Source organism: Homo sapiens, chromosome 22, assembly GCF_000001405.40.
Source record: "Homo sapiens chromosome 22, GRCh38.p14 Primary Assembly".
NCBI lineage: Eukaryota > Metazoa > Chordata > Mammalia > Primates > Hominidae > Homo > Homo sapiens.
In genome coordinates, this window is record NC_000022.11 from 33,151,462 (window position 1) to 33,174,281 (window position 22,820).

Consider the following 22,820-nt stretch of genomic DNA (forward strand, 5'->3'; position numbering starts at 1 on the left):
ATTGGTTTCTAGTGCTATGTCAAATAGCAGTGAAAGACATCCTTACCTTTTTCCTGCTCTTAACAAAATGGAATTCAGTCTTTCACTGTTAATGGTATGATACTAGCTATTGTCTTTTTGTTGTTGTTGATACTCTATCAGATTGAGGAAGTTCAAGCTATTCTTAGTTTGATGAGAGGTTTTATTGTGAGCAGGAGCTGAATTTTTTTGAATGGCTTTGTCCATTCATTGAGACAACTATGAGACTTTTCTTCTTTAATCTGCTAATATGATTGATTTTTGCACACTGAAACAGCCTTGCATTCTTGCAATAAAATCTGCTTGGTTGTGGTATATTATTCTGTTTATATATTGTTGAATTTCTTTTGCTAATATTGTATTATGGATATTTGCATCTAGTTCATGAGGAATATTGGTTTGTAGTTTTCTTCCTTTGCATTATCTTTGTCTGATTTTAGTATTGGGCAATGTTGGCCTCAAAAAAAAAAAACAAGTTGTGAAGTGTTCCCTTATCTATTTTCTGGAAGTGATTGTATAGAATTGTGTTTATTTTTTCTTCAAATGTTTGATAAAAGTTGCCAGTGCAATCATCTTGGCCTGGAGAATTCTCTTTTTGGAAGATTTCTAACTTCAATTTATTTAATGACCCTGTAGGCATTTACGCATTCCTAGCTCTGCCAGCTCATGTCTCTCCAGGCCTCATAATTTCCCTTTCAATGCCAATCCTTGCCTGAAGAGCAAGCTTTCCTTTAGGAACATACCAGCCCACTATTGTCTACATCAGCTGAGAATTCTCCATCAGCTACAGTGACATTTTGATTGAGCCCAGTGGCATGCTGGCTGGTGCTGGCTGGTGCTGACCAAAACTGCACCTCTTCTCTGGCACAGGCAGTGCTTCAAAGAATGTTTCCACTCCTTGCCTCATGACATGTGGGAAAAGAGTGCCTACTGGCCCGAGCATTGTGCTGGCCATAAGATTCCCACTGTTCCCAAAACGCTAGCTCACATTGGATCACACCAGCTGAGAGGTCTTTTCAGTTCTAATCATAAGTTGACTTCTCACCTATTTTTACTGAGTATAACATTTTTTGGATTTTTTATTTTTATTATATTTAAATTTTTTAATGGTTAAATTTTAAATTTTTGTGGCTACATAATAGGTGTATATATTTATGGGGTACATGAGATATTTTGGTATACATGTGCAATGCATGATAATCGCAGCATAGAAAATTTAATAATTTCTTGGTTATCAAAGGATCTGGTTTCTTTTTATTTTGCAGTACTTTGAATTTGTCACTTTATTTTCACCATATAAATATGGCTTTCATATTACACATATGTTAGTTCTTTAGATTATGTCCCGCATATAGTTTGTGCTCTATTTTGTTGTTTTTTATTTTGTTATTATTTTTTATCTCTGCTTCAATTTAGTTGTTTTCCATTTTCCTGATGGTAAGTCCACTAGTTTGTCTTCTGCTGTGTTTACTTTGCTATATTCTAAGAGTCTTTTATTTTCCAGTGCTAGATTATCAGCTTGGTTTTTACTCTGATTATAATTCTCTGTTCAAATATTTCAATTTCATCAACTTTGTCCAGCAGTTTTCCTATTTTATTTTCCGTATTTATCACAATTAATTGGAATTCCTTGTCTGCTACCTTAAACTCTGGATCATCTCTTGGTCTATCTTCATTGACTTTTAAATTTTTTCATTTATTTTTTATTTTATGTTTTATTTAAATTTTTTTAGGCATGAAGTTTCATTATGTTGCCCAGGCTGCACTTAAACTCCTGGGCTCAAGTGATCCTCCCACCTCAGGCTCCTGAATAGCTGAAATTACAGACACGTGCCACAGCACCAAGCTTTCACTGACTTTTTATTTCTTGATTATCAATAACTTTTTCCTGTTTCTTTGAATATCTGTTCATCTTTTTACTGTATGTTCAATATTGTAGGTGACAGGCTGTGAGTGATATGGATTATATTTCTGAAGAGTTTATATTTGTTTGGACAGTAGTTAAATTATCAATGAATTGTATCCATCATTTCAAACCTTTCTTAAGGTTTGTTGTGGGTGAGTTGAAATTTCCCGTCTTCATGGAATATCTTTTCTACCTGCAGCATAGTACTTACTCATGGTGGGGTGTGGGGAGTGTCTTTCTGCAACTTAAATTAAGGTCTCTCCATTTTCTCAGACACATTTACTTAACACTCTGTGATTCCTGAAATTTCTCTTTAGTTTGCATTATCTTACCAACAATTCTCTGTAGCCCACTATATCCTTGAGCTTTATTTGCATAGTTTATAAGTGAATTAGGAACTTCAGGTGAATATTTGCAGATATTTGGGTTTCTCTCTCTGTGACTTCCTACTCTTTGATACTTGCCCTTCAAATCCCAGGGGACTGGCGGTCCCAAATTTTAATCTCTGTTTCAAAAAACCAGTGAAACCATCATTCTCTAAGTTTGGTTGTATTACACCAGGATGTTGTTTAGGAAATTCTCATAAGCAGAAATCTGGGACCAATGTGGGGTTCACTTCTTATCCTCTTCTGCCAAGGTCATATTCCTCTATTGGTTGCTACCCAGTGCCTACAAAATGTTGCTTAATGTATTTTGTTTATCTGTTATAATTGTTTATGACAGAAGGTTAAATCCAATGCTAGCTAATCTCTAATGGCCAGACTTTGGACTTCTTGTTATATGGAAAAAAAAAAAAAAGTAAACTCCTCTTTTATTAAGCTACTGAAGTCAGGTTTACATTTTTGTTTTTGTTTTGTTGTTGTTATTGTTTTTGAGACAGAGTCTCACTCTGTTGCCCAGGTTGGAGTGCAGTGGCATGAACTCAGCTCACTGAAACCTTTACCTTCCAGGTTCAGGCGATTCTCCTGCCTCAGCCTCCCAAGTACCTGAGATTACAGGTGCCTGCCATCATGCCTGGCTAATTTTTGTATTTTTGTAGACATAGGGTTTCACAATATTGGCCAGGCTGGTCTCGAACTCCTGACCTAAGGTGATCTACTTGCTGCAGCCTCCTAAAGTGTTAGGATTACAGGTGTGAGCCACTGCGCCCAGCCAGGTTTATGTTTAATACAGGCAGAAACAACCTTATATTTTCTTCTGTGACTACGCTTTCTCTGAGATCCATTATCTTTTTCACTTCTATAATTCCTCATCACTCTTTCTTCCTTTCCTTCTTCTATTTAAGAATCATAATAAGTTAGTCTTTTTTTTTCTTGGGTTAAATGGAAAATATTTATTTATAAAGATGGATAAGACTAGGCCTCATAGATAGACATATATGTAAGATACAGATTTGATATGGTTTGGCTGTGTCTCCACCAAAATCTCATCTTGAATTGTAACTGCCACAGTTCCCATGTGTCATGGGAGGAACCCAGTGGGAGGTAATTGAATCATGGTGGCAGGTCTTTCCCATGCTGTTCTTGTGATGGTGAATACGTCTCATGAGATCCGATGGTTTTAAAAATGGGAGTTTCCCTGCACAAGCTTCTTCTTTTGTCTGCTGCCATGTGAGATGTGCCTTTCACCTTCCACCATGATTGTGAGGCCTCCCCAGCCACGTGGAACTGTAAGTCCAATAAACCTCTTTCTTTTGTAAATGGCCCAGTCTAGGTATGTCTTTGTCAGCAGTGGTACCAATTTACTGTATCAGAAAATGGACTAATACAGTAAATTAGTACCAAGAGTGGGGTGCTGCTGAAAAGATACCCAAAAATGTGGACTTTGGAACATTTTTACAGGTAGAGGTACCTGTTACATTTTAACAGGTAGAGGTTGGAACACTTTGGAGGGCTCAGAAGAAGAGAGGAAAATGTGGGAAAGTCTGGAACTCCCTAGAGACTTGGTAAATGGCTTGACCAAAATGCTGATAATGATATGGACAATGAAATCCAGGCTGAGGTGGTCTCAGATGGAGATGAGGAACTTGTTGGGAATTGGAGCAAAAATGACTCTTGTTACATTTTAGCACAGAGACTGGTGGCATTTTGCCCCTTTCCTAGAGATCTGTGGAACTTTGAACTTGAGAGAGATGATCTAGGGTTTCTGGTGGAAGAAATTTCTAAGCATCAAGGCATTCAAGAGGTGACTTGGTTGCTGTTAAAGGCATTCCGTTTTAAAAGGGAAACAGAGCATAAAAGTTTGGAAAATTTTCAACCTGACAATGCGATAGAAAATAAAAACCCATTTTCTGAGGAGAAATTCAAGGAGGCTGCAGAAATTTGCATAAGTAATGAGAAGCCAAATGTTAATCACCAAGACAAAGGAGAAAATGTCTCCAGGGCATGTCAGAGACTTTTGAGGCAGACCCTCCCATCAAGGGCCAAAGGTTTAGGAGGGAAAAATGGTTTCATGTGCCAGGCCCAGGGTCCCTTTGCTGTGTGCTGTCTAGGAACTTGGTGCCTTGCATCCCAGCCACTCCAGCTGTGACTAAAAGGGGCCAAGGTACAGCTCGGGCTGTTGCTTCAGAGGGTGGAAGCCCCAACCAAGCCTTGCATCTTCCATGTAGTGTTGAGCCTGTGGGTGCACAGAAGTCAAAAAATGAAGTTTGGGAACCTCTGCCTAGATTTCAGAGGATGTATGGAAACGTCTGGATGCCCAGGCAGAAGTTTGCTGCAGGGGTGGGGTCCTCATGGAGAACCTCTGCTAGGGCAGTGTGGAAGGGACATGAGGGTCAGAGTCCCCACACAGAGTCCCTATTGGGGCACTGCCTAGTGGAGCTGTGAGAAGAGGGCCCAGCATCCTCCAGATCCCAGAACGGTAGATCCACCAACAGCTTGCACTGTGCTTCTGGAAAAACCACAGACACTCAACACCAGCCCATGAAAGCAGCTGGTGGGGCAGAATGGGGAAAGGGGGCTATACCCTGCAAAGCCATAGAGGCAGAGCTGCCCAAGGCTGTGGGAGCCCACCTCTTACATTAATGTTATCTGGATGTGAGACATGGAGTCAAAGGAGATTATTTTTGAGCTTTAAGGTTTGACTGCTCCACTGGATTTCTGACTTGCTTGGTGCCTGTATCACCTTTGTTTTGGACAATTTCTCCCATTTGGAATGGTTGTATTTACCCAATGCCTGTAACCCCATTGTATCTAGGAGGTAACTATCTTGCTTTTGATTTTAAAGACTTTTAGGTGGAAGGGACTTGCCTTGTCTTTGATGTGACTTTGGGCTGTGGACTTTTAAGTTAATGCTGAAATGAGTTAAGACTTTGGGGAAATATTGGGAAGGCATGATTGGTTTTGAAATGTGGGGACATGAGATTTGGTGGGGGCAGGGGTAGAATGATATGGTTTGGCTGTGTCCCCACCAAAATTTCATCTTGAATTGTAACTCCCGCAATTCCAATGTGTTGTGGGAGGAACCCAGTGGGAGGTAATTGAATCATGGTGGCAGGTCTTTCCTGTGCTGTTATCATGATATCAAATAAGTCTTACGAGATCTGATGGTTTTAAAAATGGGAGTCTCCCTGCACGAGCACCCTTCTCTTGTCTGCCACCATGTGAGACACGCCTTTCACCTTCTGCCGTGATTGTGAGGCCTCTACAGCCACATGGAACTGTAAGTCCAATAAACCTTTCTTTTGCAAATTGCCCAGTCTCAAGTATGTCTTTATCAGCAGGATGAAAATGGACTAATATCATAGTTAATAAAGACTGGCCTTTTGTAGTATTTCAAAAGAAGGATAATTCATCAAGTGAGCTCAGAGTCCAAAGTGAGTGAATCATTATGAAGTAAGTAAGATAACTTGATGACTTTCATGTATAAAAAGCTGAGAGATTAACCTTCTGGTCCTTTTTAAGTTGATACTTTTTTCAGCCACTCTACCTATTAACCCATGTGAGCTTTCAAAAATGGAAATCTGGTCATGGTATCCCATGCTTAAAAACTCTTTAATGTTTTCCCACTTTTTTAAGGATAAAGACCAATTTCTTTGCATGGCTTACAATGTTGCACATGGCCTGGCCCCTCCCCACTTCCCATTTGCATCTCAGTCCCTTCCTTGTATTATTTACAGCTCTAACTAAACTGCCTGTTAGTCCTCAGTAACATGCTTGTACCAACAGAGAACCACTGCTCATTGTCTTACCTCTGCATAAAACTCATTTTCCTCCTACTTATCCATACTTCCATACCACTATCAACAATGTTGATGAGTAAAAATACTCATGAAGGATGATCGAACTGACTTGTACAAATCCTCCTTTTTTTGTATTATTGAAACATCATGATACCCTTCTTTTAGTACTCATCGTAGTTTTAATTTTACAAAGAGAAAATCTGATAGCAATCAGATAAAAATAATACATTACTTTTCAAGAAAAACTAGCTTTCACAAAAGAAATTACGAAATTCAGAAGACAAAGGAGTTACATCTTTAGAGTGATGAAAGGAAATGACTGCCAACCTAGATTTGTAGACCCAGTAAAAATAATCTTGAAAAGTCAAGGTGAAGAAGGAAGCTCAGATTTACATGAATAAATGAAGAATACCAAAAATAGTAAATTTGCAGAACAATGCAAAATATATTCTTCATTTAATCACTTTAAAATATAATTATTGAAAATAAGAAAAATAACAGTGTATTGTATATTTAAAATATATGAGTGTGTAAAACATGTCAAAAATATTACAAAGAATGAGAGAAGGGAAATGAAATTATACTACATTGAAGTTCTTATCCACTAAGTGATGTGGTATAATATTATTTGTAATTATACTGTGCTGAGTTGAAAATGTATATTCTATACATTGCAACAGCATTCTAAAATAATAAAACAAAATGGTGTAGATAACAAACCAATAGTGGAGATAAATTTAAATCTTTTGAAACAACTGCTCAATTATTGCAAAAGAAGGCAGTAAGAGAAAAATAAATGAACGACTAACAAATAGAGCCTATGTTTGAACATCAATTGACACAACTTCACTCTAGTTAGAAACCAACTTAGGTTGTTGGCCTCAGACATGAACAAAAAAATAAATATTAAGAACAATTGATATATTATAACATCTTCCCTCTAGCTTTGAAAGAAAGGCAGGTGAGAGAAGAATGAAATGACCAGAAGCATATTTATTACAATACAAAAACTTCCATCTGAATATCAGGATATTCAGAATATAAGGAAGAGGCCTCTCCATGGGAATTGTAGGTAACTGTAATCACTGTTAACTGATAAAGAATTGAGCCCCACATGTTGATACAAGTAACTATCCAAAGTAATGTCTTCTGCTATCACTTGCAATTTATTTTATCATCAAAACTATCCTGAGATACAATTTTCCCGTAACACTGGACAAAGGGATAAATTCCATCTTAGTTCTTCAATCAGATATGGCAGATAGAATAGGGTGGAATTAGAAGTTAAATGTAGATAAAACCCTAGGTTGTCAATAGGTAATGAATTATATTGCATCAAATTAGTCCAGGGAAACTGTGACATTCAAAAAGCAGAAGGTTAAATAATGCAAAATGTTTATACATTTGACTATAGAATGTATATTTTTTATCAGTAGTCTGATATATAACCTAATATTAATATTCTCATCCCTATAATCAAATATATCAACACTTGCAGATTCTCTGGGCCCTCTTTGTCCTCATCCCTGTTTCAAACCCTCATTTCTTCTCTCTGCCCATCTGGGTGTGGCTGTGTCTTCCTGTCACTTCCCCTTTCTGATTCCATCATTCTCTTCTATCTTGGCCTTTTCTCCACATTCTCTAATTGTCTGACAGTTCTCTGACTTATTTCACTATTTAACTAATTATAACATAAAATCAAAATCTAACACATAATATTTGTTGTATATACTAATTTCAATTTGAAGTTCTCAGTCTTTGACAAAAGCAAAATATCTGTACACTTTTCATTCACATATATATTCATTTATTATCTGTTGTCACTCTCTCTTCCTCCTGCTCACCTTTTTCAGTGGAGTATTTAAGGTCCCTAGTGTGCAATCATAAAATAAATTTAAAACATTTTACCAGATAAAAATTAGGAATGAAAAAAATTAAAAGACAACACAAATACTCATTGATAGACTGATAGGTTTAAATGTAGTTACTCTGCCTCTTGGTACCTAAATCAATTTAAATTTTTTTTTTTTTTTTTTGGAGATGGAGTCTTTCTCTGTCACCCAGGCTGGAGCGCAGCGGCACAATCTCGGCTCACTGCAAGCTCCGCCTCCCGGGTTCACGCCATTCTCCTGCCTCAGCCTCCTGAGTAGCTGGGACTACAGGCACCCGCCACCACGCCTGGCTAATTTTTTGTATTTTTTTTAGTAGAGACGGGGTTTCACCGTGTTAGCCAGGATGACCTTGATCTCCTGACCTTATGATCCACCCGCCTCAGCCTCCCAAAGTGCTGGGATTACAGGTGTGAGCCACCATGCCTGGCAATCAATTTTAAATTTTACCTGAAAATTTGGATCTGAAACTATTAGTGGTAAAAAAAAAAAAACACTCAAATCAAAAAGAGAAACAAAATAACTTATGCACTTAGCATTTGCATAAAAGAAAGATATATCAATTACTTGAGGGACTTGAACTTATACAGAGGGAAATCTTTCCCATAAGTTTTCACATAGGGGACACAAAGTAGCATAATCCACTTCAATAAAAGCCTACAGCACATTCAGTGTTAAGCTTTACATTACAGTTGTAGTGTCCTTAAAATATATGACAAGTTCAATGTTCTAAATGCTGAGCAAATCAATTGATATCTCTCTTGGTTTTAGTGGGAACCTATTTGAATTACATTTTTTGTTTGGACTTTGTGTGTGTATGTGTATGTTGAGGACAGTTGGAAGGAGGAAGAGTTAATGAGTCTGTGTATCTGCATTCAGAAGCTGACCCTTCCATATTGTTGAATGAGAGAAAAAATCAGCTAGGAGTTTCATACTTGGCTCCTCCATTACTTAGCTGACTTTGGGGGAGTCCAACCACTCTACCTTGCTGGCTTTCTATTTCCCGTTCTCTACAATGTAGAATACAATACGATTCTCTTCTTCACTTCACAAATTTGTCATGAAAATGGGATTAGAGACATGAAGCAGACATGTCTGGAGACTCTATGTAATTTTTATATCCACCTTAAAATTACTGTGACAGATGCTCTGTGTTGTCATGTGAGTGATTATTAACACTTTTAGTGGCAGTCCTCTCCTGTTCAGAAATCAGCACAGTGCATGCATAGGAGATGGGAGGTTGCGTGGAGGCAGTAATGTGCATATAGGAAACACACCCTATGTTCCAGACATAGTGATAGACCCTTTTCATACAGCATTTGCTTTAAGCTTCACAGCTGGCTGACAAGGAGTGTAGCATTTATTGCACTTCTCTAGATCTCAGGCTGAGTGAAGGGAAGTTGGCCTGGGCCAGATCTCCCAGGATGAAAGTAGCAGAGTGAAGATTTGAATTTCCCTTTCTCTGTCTGACATTGGAAAACATGTTTTAAAAGTGAGTGTGGTTTTTCCTCTGTATTAGTCCATTCTCATGCTGCTATAAAGAACTGCCTGAGACTGAGTAATTTATAAAGAGGTTCAACTGACTCACAGTTTAGCATGGCTGGGGAGGTCTGAGGAAACTTACAATCATGGAAGGGACCTCTTCACAGGGTGGCAGGAGAGAGAAATGCCGAGCAAGTGGGGAAAAGCCCGTTATAAAACCATCAGATCTTGTGAGAACTCACTCACTACCATGAGAACAGCATGGGGGTAACTGCCTCCATGATTCAATTACCTCCCACCAGGTCCCTCCCACGACCCATGGGGATGATGGGAACTAGAATTCAAGATGAGATTTGGGTGGGGATACAGAGCCAAGCCATATCATTCTGCCCCCGGCCCCTCCCAAATCTCATGTCTTCACATTTCAAAACACAATCATGCCTTCCCAACAGTCCCCCAAAGTCTTAGCTCATTCCAGCATTAACCCAATAAAAGTCCAAGTCCAAAGTCTCATCTGAGACAAGGCAAGTTCCTTCCACCGATGAACTTGTAAAATCAAAAGCAAGTTAGTTACTTCCTAGATACAATAGGGGTACAAGAATTGGGTAAATACATCTGCTCCAAATAGGAGAAACTGGCCAAAACAAAAGGGTTACAGGCCCCATTGCAAGTCCAAAATCCAATAGGGCAGTCATGAGACCTTAAAGTTCCAAAATGATCTTCTTTGATTCCATGTCTTACATTGTGGTCATGCTGATGCAAGAGGTGGGCTTTCACAGCCTTGGGCAGCTCTGCCCCTATGGCTTTGCATAATACAGCCCCCCTCCCAGCTGCTTTCATGGGCTGGCATTGAGTGTCTGTGACTTGGTCTAAATTGTTGGTGGACCAACCATTCTGGGGTCTAGAGGATGAGGATCTCTAGGGGAGGGACAAAATGCTTCCAGTCTGTTTGCTAAAGCATTTCAAGAACCACCTTTATTCCAGTTCCCAAGAAGTTCCTCATCCCCATCTGAGACCACTTCTGCCTGGAATTCATTGTCCATATCACTATCAGCCTTTTGGTCAAAACCATTCAACAAGTCTCTAGGAAGTTCCAAATTTTCCCACATTTTTCTGTCTTCTGAGCCCTCCAAACTGTTCCAACCTCTGCCTGTTACCCAGTTCCAAAGTTGCTTCCACATTTTCAGGTATCTTTACAGTAGCACCCCACTCTCATTATAATGAGATAATACCAATTTACTGTATTAGTCCATTCTCACACTGCTATAAAGAACTGCCCGAGACTGCATGATTTATAAAGAAAAGAGGTTTAATTGACTCACAGTTCAGCATGGCAGGCAAGGCCTCAGGAAATTTACAATTATGGTGGAAGGCACCTCTTCACAGGGCAGCAGGAGAGAAAAGTGCTGAACAAAGGAGGAAAAGCCCCTTATCACACCATCAGATCTCATGAGAACTCAGTCACTATCACAGAACAGCACGGGGGTAACTGCCCCAGTGATTCAATTACCTCCCACCAGGTCCCTCCCCTGACACGTGGGGATGATGGGAACTACAATTCAAGATGAGATCTGGGTGAGAACATAGCCAAACTATATCATCTTCCCTATGACTTTTCTTTCTCTTTACTTAAAGTATCAGAAAAATCATAAATCAGGATCAACTTTGCTGGCAAGGAAGTTACTGATGGCTTGCTTATCTACAGAAGAAAGAATGGCTGCCTGGAGGTTGGGGTGAAAATAGAGGATGTCTGTAAATTGGCACATGAAGCCTTTTCGGGGTGATGGAAATATTCTAAAATTGAATTGTGGCAGTGGTTGCACAGCTCTAACAATTGACTGAAAGTTACTGAATTATACACTTATGACAAAATGTTATGGCACACTAAGTACCTCTTAAAACTTTCATAATAAGGAGATTGTCACCAATTAAAAGGTTAACACTTGGACGTGTATGCTTACAAAGTTCTTTCATTAGTGTTGGAGGTGGATTACAGTCCTCTGGGAAAATTTCCTTTAGTGTTTGCTCATGCCGGTACCCACAAATAGAGGTGTCTTCTCAGATTCTCTTCTCATGTCTATGTTGTAATTGCACTGCTTAATCAATGTGAGTAAAGGGGTGTCTGTCATTCCATGAAAATCCAGCATTTGCATATATTCTCAAATATTATGAGTTTCTTTTAAGTCCAACACTGTACTAGATGCATCATATAAATTATCACAGATCCTTAACACAGTCGTCTTGGGCAGCCCTCATTGTCCCCATGTCGCAGGTTGGAAAAGTGTGCTCAGAAGAACTAAGTAAATTGTTCAAGCTCTGATTCTTTTCGCTATTTACCAATTTGTCACTTGGGCCTTGAATATATTTTCTATAACTCTGTATTACATTTTAAAATGAAGTGTGGTATGCTTTTACTGATGTAGGAAAAAAACCAGTTTCCAACATTTCCAATGACCATCTTTGTGTTTCAATACTCCAGAATGAAGTGAAGGTCTTTGGCTCCAAAATAATTGAAAGCTACTCCACTGTTTGGCATGAACTTGTTCATTACAGGTACATTCACTTAACAGGCTCTCTTTCCACCCTTGTAGAAATACAAAAATAAGACTTAATACAGACGATGGCATGGGCTTAGTAACTACCCCTTTACCCTTAAACAGCTCATTGCCCCTTTACAGGGAAGGGCTAAGTACAGTGTACGGTTTTATCACATTCCAGTGTAAGAAATGCATCGTGAAAAGCAGATGGAGAGGTGATGCTGGAGAGAGAGTGCATAGCTCTCATGGAAAAAGTCTTGTAGGATTTCTTAAACTGGTGATCTCTAGCTATTCTGTAAGAATAAAAAGAAATTTACGATGCAGATATGAGGGAAACATTTAGCAAGTGGTGAATAGTAAATGAAACTCCCAATTGGCTTGTTTTTGAGGAAATTCCATGCTTAATTGTGTGGGCTATCAGTGCCAAATCATAACAAAGATAGCACCACTTAATATATTTACTTAAAGAGTCAAAGGCTTGAGTGTCCTTGAGAAAACCTCTACGTCAGCAGAAGTTCAAGTTTCAGCAAACAATATTAACATCAAATACCAGGTAGCTATAGGTCGCCTTTCTCCCTGTTTGTGCCCCATTAAGAAGGGAGGTAGGAGGAGAGCATGGATATGACCAAACTCAAACTTATTTCTTGGGATTGTGAGTTTGCTGCCCCCTAACAGTGCTGGGAACATAATCCCTCACGAGGAGCAGAAACATCTTGCAGTTTATGTCCGTTTTTATCCATTGATCTCCTGCTGTCGATGTCTGACTTTTCGCTTTGTCTGTTTTATCAGTGGGAGCTGATGTCAACTCTTCAGAAATGTCAAGGTTCTGCAATTCTCATAGATTCCCAGGAGCTCGAAGTTCCCAAGTACGTCTTCCAGGGATGAGCGGCACTCCAGGTGAGAAAATAAAACATTCAGATGTTATTGGTTATTTCTTTTCTTGTTTTTCTTCTATTGAAATATCCATAAACCAGTGAAAATATACAGGTGTTTCTGACAAGCAGTAATAATCAACGTAAGATTTTGTTTTTTTTTTTTATTTTTATGTATATTTTTATTTTTGAGACAGAGTCTCGCTCTGTCACCCAGGCTGGAGTGCAGTGGCGCGATCTCAGCTCACTGCAACCTCTGCCTCCCAGGTTCAAGTGATTCTTCTGCCTCAGCCTCCCAAGTAGCTGGGATTACAGGCACACAACACCACACCTGGCTAATTTTCGTATTTTTAAATAGAGACAGGGTTTCACATGTTGGTCAGGCTTGTCTCAAACTCCTGACCTCAGATGATCCACCTGCCATGGCCTCCCAAAGTGCTGGTATTACAGGTGTGAGCCACTGCGCTCGGCCAAGACAAGAATTAAAAAAAAAAAATTACCACGAACTCTCATCCCAAGCACAGGTAAGCACATAGGTCCTTAAAACATATGCTGAGGAACAGAAAACCAAATACCGCACATTCTCATTTACAAGTGGGAGCTAAACACTGGGTACTCATGGACAAAAAGATGGCAACTATAGACAACGGGGACTACTAGAGGCAGGAGGAAGGGAGGGTGGAAAAACTAACTATGGATACTATGCTCACTACCTGAGTGACGGGACCAATCGTATCCCAAACCTCAGCATCGTGCAATAAACCCATGTAACAAATCTGCATGTGTACCACTGAATCTAAAATAAAAGTTTAAATTATAAAAAGAATAGATGCTTTGATTTTACCCCAGAAGAACTTCGGGGATAGATCCTGAAGAAGCCACAATTTGATGTTTATATGATTAAGGAAAAACCTTGATGATAGTTGAGATAGCATTAAAATTGGTGTGCTCTTTAAAGTGGCATAGTTGCTCTGTGCTCACCCATTGTTAACACTGGAGCACTGGTGAGTTTGCTGCAAGTCCAGGGATTTGCTGCAGTTTGGTGTCACCAACAACAACCTTGGATACAGTATTAGGAGATCTCCCATAGGTTCTGAGAAAATGCTGTGCCATTTGAACCTCACGGGAAGCCACTCACCAGTTTGATTCCTCATCTGTGATTTTTAAATCTACCTGTACTTCAAAATCATCTAGGGACCTTTACTAATATGCAGGTTTAGATCCAAACCCCCAAAATTCTGATTTAGAAGGTCACAGCATTATTAGCGAGGACACTGGGTTATTCACAGGCTCTACAGCTGATTGTATCACACAGCCCAGCTGGGAAAACATCACTCTAACATCCCTTTTATCTCTGATATGATACAATCCCTGGACTTCCCTGGGTCAATGTTTCCTTCGAGTCCTTAACTGCTGTTTGTGATAATAAAATCATATGATCAAATATATGAGATGAATTTGAAAATCTAAGCAACTATTTATTCCATCATTGCTTCAGAAAAACACCAAGAGTACCAACTCTATGCTGGACACTGTATGGTAGCACTTCAGGAACAAAATCAAGTAAAATACCTGCTATGGCCTGTTTAAGGAAACAAAACAGGTACATAGAGGAGAGATTATTATTCAGTGTGGTAAACGCTGTGGCCAGAGTAAACACTAGATTTTGCTATTCTGATGGCATAGAGGAAAGGACTTCCTGGGAAAATGATGCTTATGATGATTCTTGAAGGGTAAATGAATGTTAGTAAGGAGGGTTAAAATGGAAAGAAATTAATAAACTGTGAAATGCATGAATTTCAAATATCCCCTTTCTGTTTACGTTGGTGTTTAAGACTCCCACGCCATCCAGGATACCTAGGGCCACCTGGAACTCCAGGAGACATTGAGAAGTCCTTCCCCACTCAAGTCTGCCTTTGCAGTGAAGCTGAGGGATCCCATCCCAGGCCCCTCCCAGCCCGTTGTCTTCAAGGAAGTGTTGCGTAATCATCAGGCCACTTCAATCTTACCAAGGGGATGTTCCCCTGCATGTACCACCTCAATCTTACCACAGGGATGTTCACCTGGCACGTACCACCTTAATCTTACCACGGGGATGTTCATCTGCACCTACCACTTCAATCTTACCACGGGGATGTTCACCTGGCATGTACCACTTCAATGTTACCACGGGGATGTTCACCTGGCATGTACCACTTCAATCTTTCCACAGGGATGTTCACCTGCCATGTACTACTTCAATCTTACCACGGGGATGATGTTCACCTGGCATGTACCACTTCAATCTTACCGTGAGGATGTTCACCTGGCACGTACCACTTTGGCTTCAACGTTGAGCCGTTCCAACATGCTGTAAAATTAGGGCTCATGAAGAACAGTACCCAAGTCCTCGAGAAGGAAGCCAACGCCGAGGACAATTATAGGCATGTGTTTGGAACTGTCGTCTTGCAGCTGATGATGGGAGATAGGGTCTGGCTAAAATCAAAGCTAGAAGCAAAAGAGAATGAGAAAGGGTTGATTCAAAGTGTGTTCTGTGGTTATTTGTTCTATGCAATGATACTGGCTAAGAGTAACCACACACTTCAATTCCTCAAGTGGGTCTAAATTTCAGAGCGAAACTCCCCCTTCTCCAGTATATTTTTCCCTAAGATCATTACATGCATAACATTAAGAGTAACCCAATTTATCAATGTGAATGTAATTCCAAAAGCAGTAAAGATTAATAATCCATTAATTGGTCAACAACTTCTTATTGAAAGTCTATCACATTTCCAGTATTCTGCCATATCCTAGGAATTTCCAGGAGAGGATGTCAGAAAATCAGATCTAATTGGAAGCCTCTTGCCACTTGAAACTGAGGGGACCAGGAAAGTTCTCATTCCTTTTTGTGATTATGTCTGAACATTTTTCTCCATACTAAAAAAGTCTTAATTATAGCCCCTTCTATCACTTCAATTTTACAACTTACAGTACAGCTAGGAAAGCACATATCCCAGAGAGATGAAGAAAATTTGTTCAAAGTCACATGAAGTTGTGAATACATACTATTAAATGCATATTTTGCATTCGATGAACAGTGCATATTTTGGCCACTGTTAGAGCAAGGGGCAAGGGTATGGTTTGGAGGAGCAGTTTCTATGGCTTAATACCCATAAGACCCTATTAGTTGCCTACTAAGTATCCATTCACCCATTCTATGTTTCAATTTATTCCTAACAGGTAAGGTTCCTGTTGCATTTTACAGATTAATAATTCGAGATTCAAAGAAGTAATCCTACTTATTCCCAACCAGATTGCTAGTTAAAAGCCTGAGACAGGATTCTAATCCCAGGTTTCCCAAGAATCCGAGTTCTTAACCATAGTGTTTTTGATTAGTTAATTGTCATCTACTCATTTCTCCAAGCTCTGCCCTTGGCTTTTGCTTTTCATTTCCAGCTAAGCCTTGGAGTACAGCAACCTACAAGAAGCAACCTTACTCTGGCTGGCATTTACTCTGTTTGTTCATTCTCTCCCCTAGAGCAGTAGCCTCAGGAGATAATGTCAGAAAAAACAAATTGTTGGCACCAGGATCTGCATACCCCAATTAACAAAATGATGCTTTCCACCCACCCTCCTGCAAATATTTGAAGCAGGAAACTGCCCCTCTCACAACCTGGGTCAGCCTCCTACCAGCCATTCTTAAGACAAAAGTCTTTTTCCTTTTAGTGGGTGAACTTTCTCCAGGAGTTCTTTCTGGCACGCCTAGCTGTGGGGTCTAAGGCTTGGACCCGTCTCTGATCACCCTATCAAGGCCTTAAGTAAACAGTACAATATTGCCTCTTCAGATATTTACCCCTGGTACAACCAGCTGCCAGCAACAAGATTAATATTTAACCACAAGGTAGATTCACCCATTCTTACTGGCTCTGGATCTCAGCGTGGATAGGATTATAGACTATAATTCCTAGGCCATTTTTTAGATTTTCCTTCCAGCATGTCTGTTCTAGGAGTAGCTGTATATATAAGGCCAAAGTAAAGAGGCCATGCTACCTCCTACCCTGACTTCTATTTGAAGATGTATTCCTTGTGCTGAACCACAGGTTAGGAGTTATCACAAACCATTTTCAGTACCAGAAGTCAAATGCAGATCAAAAAGTCTAGAATTGGAGGCAATTTCCAATGAGAAAAATGTGCAGGAAGAAACTAAGATTAAGTGCTACATATTCAAAACGGTCTAATAAACATAAAGCATGAAATGCTAATTAATGTTAGTTACTGTTTAACATGCATGCCATCTCTTTTAATCCTCATAACAACCTTATAAGGAAAATATCTACTATATATTTCATACAAAGCAAACTATTTACATAACATTCCAAGTTTTTTCCCATTACCCTTATTTTGTTCTTTCTGCCTGGAATTCTTATGTTCCTGATCTTTGATGAACTCATCCATTTCCTAAGGTCTAGTTCAAATGTCTCCTTTAATATCTACATCAAATATACAAGTGTATAAGAAGAAGACTGTTTTACAAGAAGATATTAGAATTTAATTCTGAGTTGGAGTAGTGGAGCAGCATTGAACATAGTAAAGCAGAAGAACTATAATTCAACAGTAAATAATCCCTGGGTCTTTTCCTGTAAACCAGCACTTGGCCTACAGTGCAAGGCCAAATAGCACACTGATGATTGTCAAAGATAAGAATAAAATTGCTTGACCCACCACTGGACTATAAATGCCTAGGAAGCAACCCAGAGCATGTGAGCAATGACTCCATTTCCAGAATATTTTTGAAAGCAGGAGTGTCAAACAGTTATCATTTGCTTTTGTATAAGATATGATAAAGATTTTAAAAATCTGTCCTGTTACAAAGTCATATGTAATTGATGATATATATTGTCTTGGTAAAATAAGGATTGAATTAGGTCTTACGTATAATGAGGTAGTAAAACATTTCATCATCTTCCCATGTGGGCCCTAAAATTCTGCTTGGAGACAGTGCTTCTTGTTATGGGAAAGTCTTGCTAAGAATTTGTGCTTGATGTGGGTTGCAACTAGAGTCAAGTCCACAAAGAAGGGAGCCAAATTAACATGCATATACCAGACATGACTTTCAGGCTATAAATCATATATTTTCTTGTTTTAGTCAGCTAAGTTTTACCTTTAAGCTTCAAAACTTAATGAACAAAAGTGAATAATTGAACCTCAGTAATAGATAACCCAGAGTCATAAAAATGTCCTGAGGGGCTGGGCGCAGTGGCTCACAACTGTAATCCCAGCACTTTGGGAGGCTGAGGCGGGCGGATCATGAGGTCAGGAGATTGAGATCATACTGGCTAACATGGTGAAACCCCGCCTCTACGAAAAATACAAAAAATTAGCTGGGTGTGGTGGCACGTGCCTGTAGTCCCAGCTATTAGGGTGGCTGAGGCAGGAGAATTGCTTGAACCTGGGAGGCGGAGGTTGCAGTGAGCCAAGATCTTGCCAATGCACTCCAGCCTGGGTGATAGAGCAAGACTCTCTCTCAAAAAAGGAAAAAAAAAAGTCCTGAGGTTTTACATAGCACTGAGACACCAGGGAAATCCTTTTAACCTTTAGATACCTAGATATCTATCTATTCAAGTTACTGCTAAGGAACTTGCTATGGTCCAAATATTTGTGTCCCCCTTAAATGTATGTGTTGAAACCTAAGCTCCAACATGATGGTATTAGCAGGTGGAGTCTTCTGGGGTGATTAGATCATGAGGGCAGCCCTCATAAATGAGATTATTGCCCTGGGCTGGTGACACATGCCAGCACTTTGGGATGCCGAGGTGGGAGGATCACTTGAGGTCAGGAGTTCTAGACCAGCCTGGCCAACATGATGAATCCCCATCTCTACTCAAAATACAAAAATTAGTCAGGCATGGTGGTGCACATCTGTAATCCCAGCTACTCAGGAGGCTGAGGCAGGAGAATCGCTTGAACCCAGGAGATGGAGGTTATAGTGAGCCGAGATCATGCCACTGCACCCTGGCCTGGATGACAAAGCAAGACTCCATCTCAAAAATAAATAAATAAATATAAAAATAAATAAAGGAGACCTCATAGAGCTAGCTTGATATGGTTTGGCTTGTGTCCCTACCCAAATCTCATCTGGAATTGTAATCCCCATGTGTCGGAGGAGAGACTGGTGGGAGGTGATTGGATCATTGGAGTGGTTTCCCCGATGCTGTTCTCGTGACAATGAGGGAGATATCATAAGATCTGATGGTTTAAAAGTTGTAGTTTCCTCTGCACTCTTTCTCTCCTGCCCCCTTGGGAAGAAGGTACTTGCTTCCCCTTTGCCTTCTGCCATGAGTGTGAGTTTCCTGAGGCCTCCCCAATCATGCAGAACTGTGAGTCAATTAAATCTCTTTCCTTTAAAAATTACCCCATCTTGGTATCTTTATAACAGTGTGAGAATGGACTAATACAGAGAATTGGTACCATCAGTGGTACTGCTATAAAGTGGGTACTGCTATAAAGGTAACCTGAAAATGTGGAAGCAACTTTGGAACTGGGTAACAGACAGCGGTTGGAACAGTTAGGAGGGCTCAGAAGAAGACAGGAAGATGTGGGAAAGTTTGGAACTTCCTAGAGACTTGTTGGATGGTTTTGACCAAAATGCTGATAGTGATATGGACGATAAAGTCCAGGCTGAGGTGGTCTCAGATGGAGATAAGGAAGTTTTTGGGAACTGGAGCAAAGGTCACTCTTGCTATGCTTTAGTAAAGCAACTGGCAGGATTTTGCCCCTGCCGTAGAGATCTGTGGAACTTTAAACTTGAGTGAGATAATTTAGGGTGTCTGGTAGAAGAAATTTCTAAGCAGCAAAGCATTCAAGATGTGACCTGGCTTTTTCTGAAAGCATTCAGTCATATGGGTTCACGAAGAGATGGTTTGAAATTGGAACTTATGTTTAAAAGGGAAGTAGAGCATAAAGGTTTGGAAAATTTGCAGCCTGATCATGTGGTGGAAGACAAAAACCCATTTTCTGTGGAGAAATTCAAGCCTACTGCAGAAACTTGCATAAATAATGAGGAACTGAATGTTAATAGCCAAGACAATGAGGAAAATGTCTCCAGGGCATGTCAGAGACCTTCACAGCAGCCCCTCCCATCACAGGCCTAGATGCCTAGGAGGGAAAAGTGGTTTTGTGGGCTGCACCCAGGGCCCCACTGCTCTGTGTAGCTTCCAGACTTGGTGCCCTGCATCCCAGCCACTCCAGCTCCAGCTGTGGCTAAAAGGGCCAAAGTACAGCTCATGCCATTGATTCAGAGGATGCAAGCCCCAAGCCTTGGCAGCTTCCACGTGGTGATAGGCCTGAGAGTGCGCAGAAGATAAGAGCTGAGGTTTGGGAATGTCCACCTAGATTTCAGAGGATGTAAGGAAATGCCTGGATATCCAGGCAGAAGCTGGCTGCAAGGGTAGAGCCCTCATGGAGAACATTTGCTAGGCAGTGAGGAAGGGAAATGTGGGGTTGGAGTCCCCACACAGAGTCCCCACTGGGGCACTGCCTAGTGAGAAGAGGACCATTGTCCTCCAGACCCCAGAAAGGTAGATCCACTGACAGAGGCACCATACACCTGGAAACACCACAGGCACTCAATGCCAGCCTGTGAAAGCATCCACAGGGGCTGTACCCTGCAGAGCCACAGGGGCATAGGTGCCCAAGACCATGGAAACCCACCTCTTGCATCAGCCTGCCCTGGATGTGAGACATGGAATCAAAGGAGATTGTATTGAAGCTCTAAGATTTAAAGAATGCCCTGCTGGGTTTCAGACTTGCATGGGGCCTGTGGCCCCTTTGTTTTGGCCAATTTCTCCCATTTAGAATGGGAATATTTACCAATGCCTGTACCCCCATTGTATCTTGGAAGTAACTAACTTGCTTTTTATTTTACAGGCTCATAGGGACTTGCTTTGTCTCAGATGAGACTTTGGACTTGGACTTTTGAGTTAATGCTGGAATGAGTTAAGACTTTGAGGGACTGTTGGGAAGGCATGATTGGTTTTGAAATGGTGGTTTCTCCCATGCTGTTCTCGTGACAGTGAGGAAGATCTCATGAGATATTATGGTTAAAAAGTGAAAGTTTCCCCTGCTCACTCTCTCTCTCTCTCTCTCTACTGCTGCCTTGTGAAGAAGGTACTTGCTTCCCCTTCCCCTTCCTTCATGATTGTAAGCTTCCTGAGGCTTCCCCAAATTTCTCTGCAATAGAATTTTTTCTGGATATTGTCTATGATGTGAATTCTCCACCCCTATCCTAGGAACTCTAATTACTCTAGTATATTTCACCTCCTAAGAATAATGTGCTAAGTATCATGTGATAAGATTATAGTGCTCTATTCGAGAACTTCATGAAGCATACACAAGTATCAATAGTCAAATTGATCAAGTGGAAGAGAGGATATCAGAGATTGAAGATCAACATAATGAAATAAAGTGAGAAGACAAGATTAGAGAAAAAAGAGTAAAAAGAAATGAACAAAGCCTCCAAGAAATACGGGGCTATGTGAAAAGACCAAATCTACATTTGATTGGTGTGCCTGAAAGTGACAGGGAGAATGGAACCAAGTTGGAAAACACACATCAGGGTATTATCCAGGAGAATTTCCCCAACCTAGCAATACAGGCCAACATTCAAATTCAGGAAACACAGAAAACACCATAAAGATATTCCTCGAGAAGAGCAACCCCAAGACACATAATCATCAGATTCACCAAGGTTGGAATGAAGGAAAAAATGTTAAAGGCACCCAGAGAGAAAGGTCGGGTTGCCCACAAAGAGAAGCCCATTCGATTAACAGCAGATCTCTCTGCAGAAACCCTACAAGCCAGAAGAGAGTGAGGGCCAATATTCAACATTCTTAAAGGAAAGAATTTTCAACCCAGAATTTCATATAGAACGAAACTAAGCTTCATAAGCAAAGGAGAAATAAAATACAGACAAGCAAATGCTGAGAGATTGTCACCACCAAGCCTGCCTTACAAAAGCTCCTGAAGGAAGCATTAAACATGAAAAGCAATAAACGGTACCAGCCACTGCAAAAACAGACCAAATTGTAAAGATCATCGACACTATGAAGAAACTGCATCAACTAGCAGGCAAAATACCACAATGACAAGATCAAATTCACACATAGCAATATTAACCTTAAATGTAAATGGACTAAATGCCCCAATTAAAAGACACAGATGACCAAATTAGATAAAGAGTGAAGACTCATCATGCTGTATTCAGGAGACCCATCTCACATGCAAAGACACATATAAGCTCAAAATAAAGGGAAGGAGGAAGATTTACTGAGCAAATAGAAAGAAAAAAAAAAAGCAGGGGTTGCAATCCTAGTCTCTGATAAAACAGACTTTAAACCAACAAATATCAAAAGAGACACAGAAGGCCATTACATAATGGTAAAGGGATCAATGCAACAAGAAGAGCTAACTATCCTAAATATATATGCACCCAATACAAGAGCACCCAGATTCATAAAGCAAGTTCTTAGAGGCCTACAAAGAAACTTAGACTCCCACACAATAATAATGGGAGATTTTAACACCCCACTGTCAATATTAGACAGATCAATGAGACAGAAGATCAACATGAATATTCAGGACATGAACTCAGCTCTGGACCAACTGGACCTAATAGACATCTAGACAACTCTCCACCCCAAATCAACAGAATATAGATTCTTCTCAGCACCACAATGCACTTATTCTAAAATTGACCACATAATTGGTAGTAAAATACTCCTTAGCAAATGCAGAAGAACGGAAATCATAACAAACAGGCTCTCTGACCACAGTGCAATCAAATTAGAACTCAGGATTAAGAAACTCACCCAAAACCACACAACTACATGAAAACTGAACAACCTGCTCTTGAATAACTACTGGGTAAATAATGAAATAAAGGCAGAAATAAAGATGTTC

At 40.1% G+C, this 22,820-nt stretch overlaps 1 protein-coding gene and 1 long non-coding RNA gene across 6 annotated transcripts in view; one reads left to right on the plus strand and one right to left on the minus strand.

The window, feature by feature from the left end:
- Positions 1–22,820, minus strand: part of LARGE1 (LARGE xylosyl- and glucuronyltransferase 1) — an 856,162-nt gene that overhangs the window by 84,799 nt on the left and 748,543 nt on the right. For 2 of the 5 annotated variants that reach the window (XM_024452302.2, XM_047441606.1), the window contains one exon: positions 10,767–15,371. In XM_024452302.2, the coding sequence (XP_024308070.1) occupies positions 15,302–15,371 (70 nt within the window). In that variant the 3' untranslated portion in view covers positions 10,767–15,301. Of the gene's footprint in view, positions 1–10,766; positions 15,372–22,820 lie in introns of those variants that run through there. The other 3 variants (XR_002958722.2, XR_007067994.1, XR_007067993.1) reach the window with 3 other exon arrangements.
- On the plus strand, positions 12,825–17,587 carry LARGE1-AS2 (LARGE1 antisense RNA 2). The gene is made up of 2 exons (XR_007068069.1): positions 12,825–12,909; positions 14,720–17,587. It is a non-coding gene; the product is annotated as an LARGE1 antisense RNA 2 (long non-coding RNA).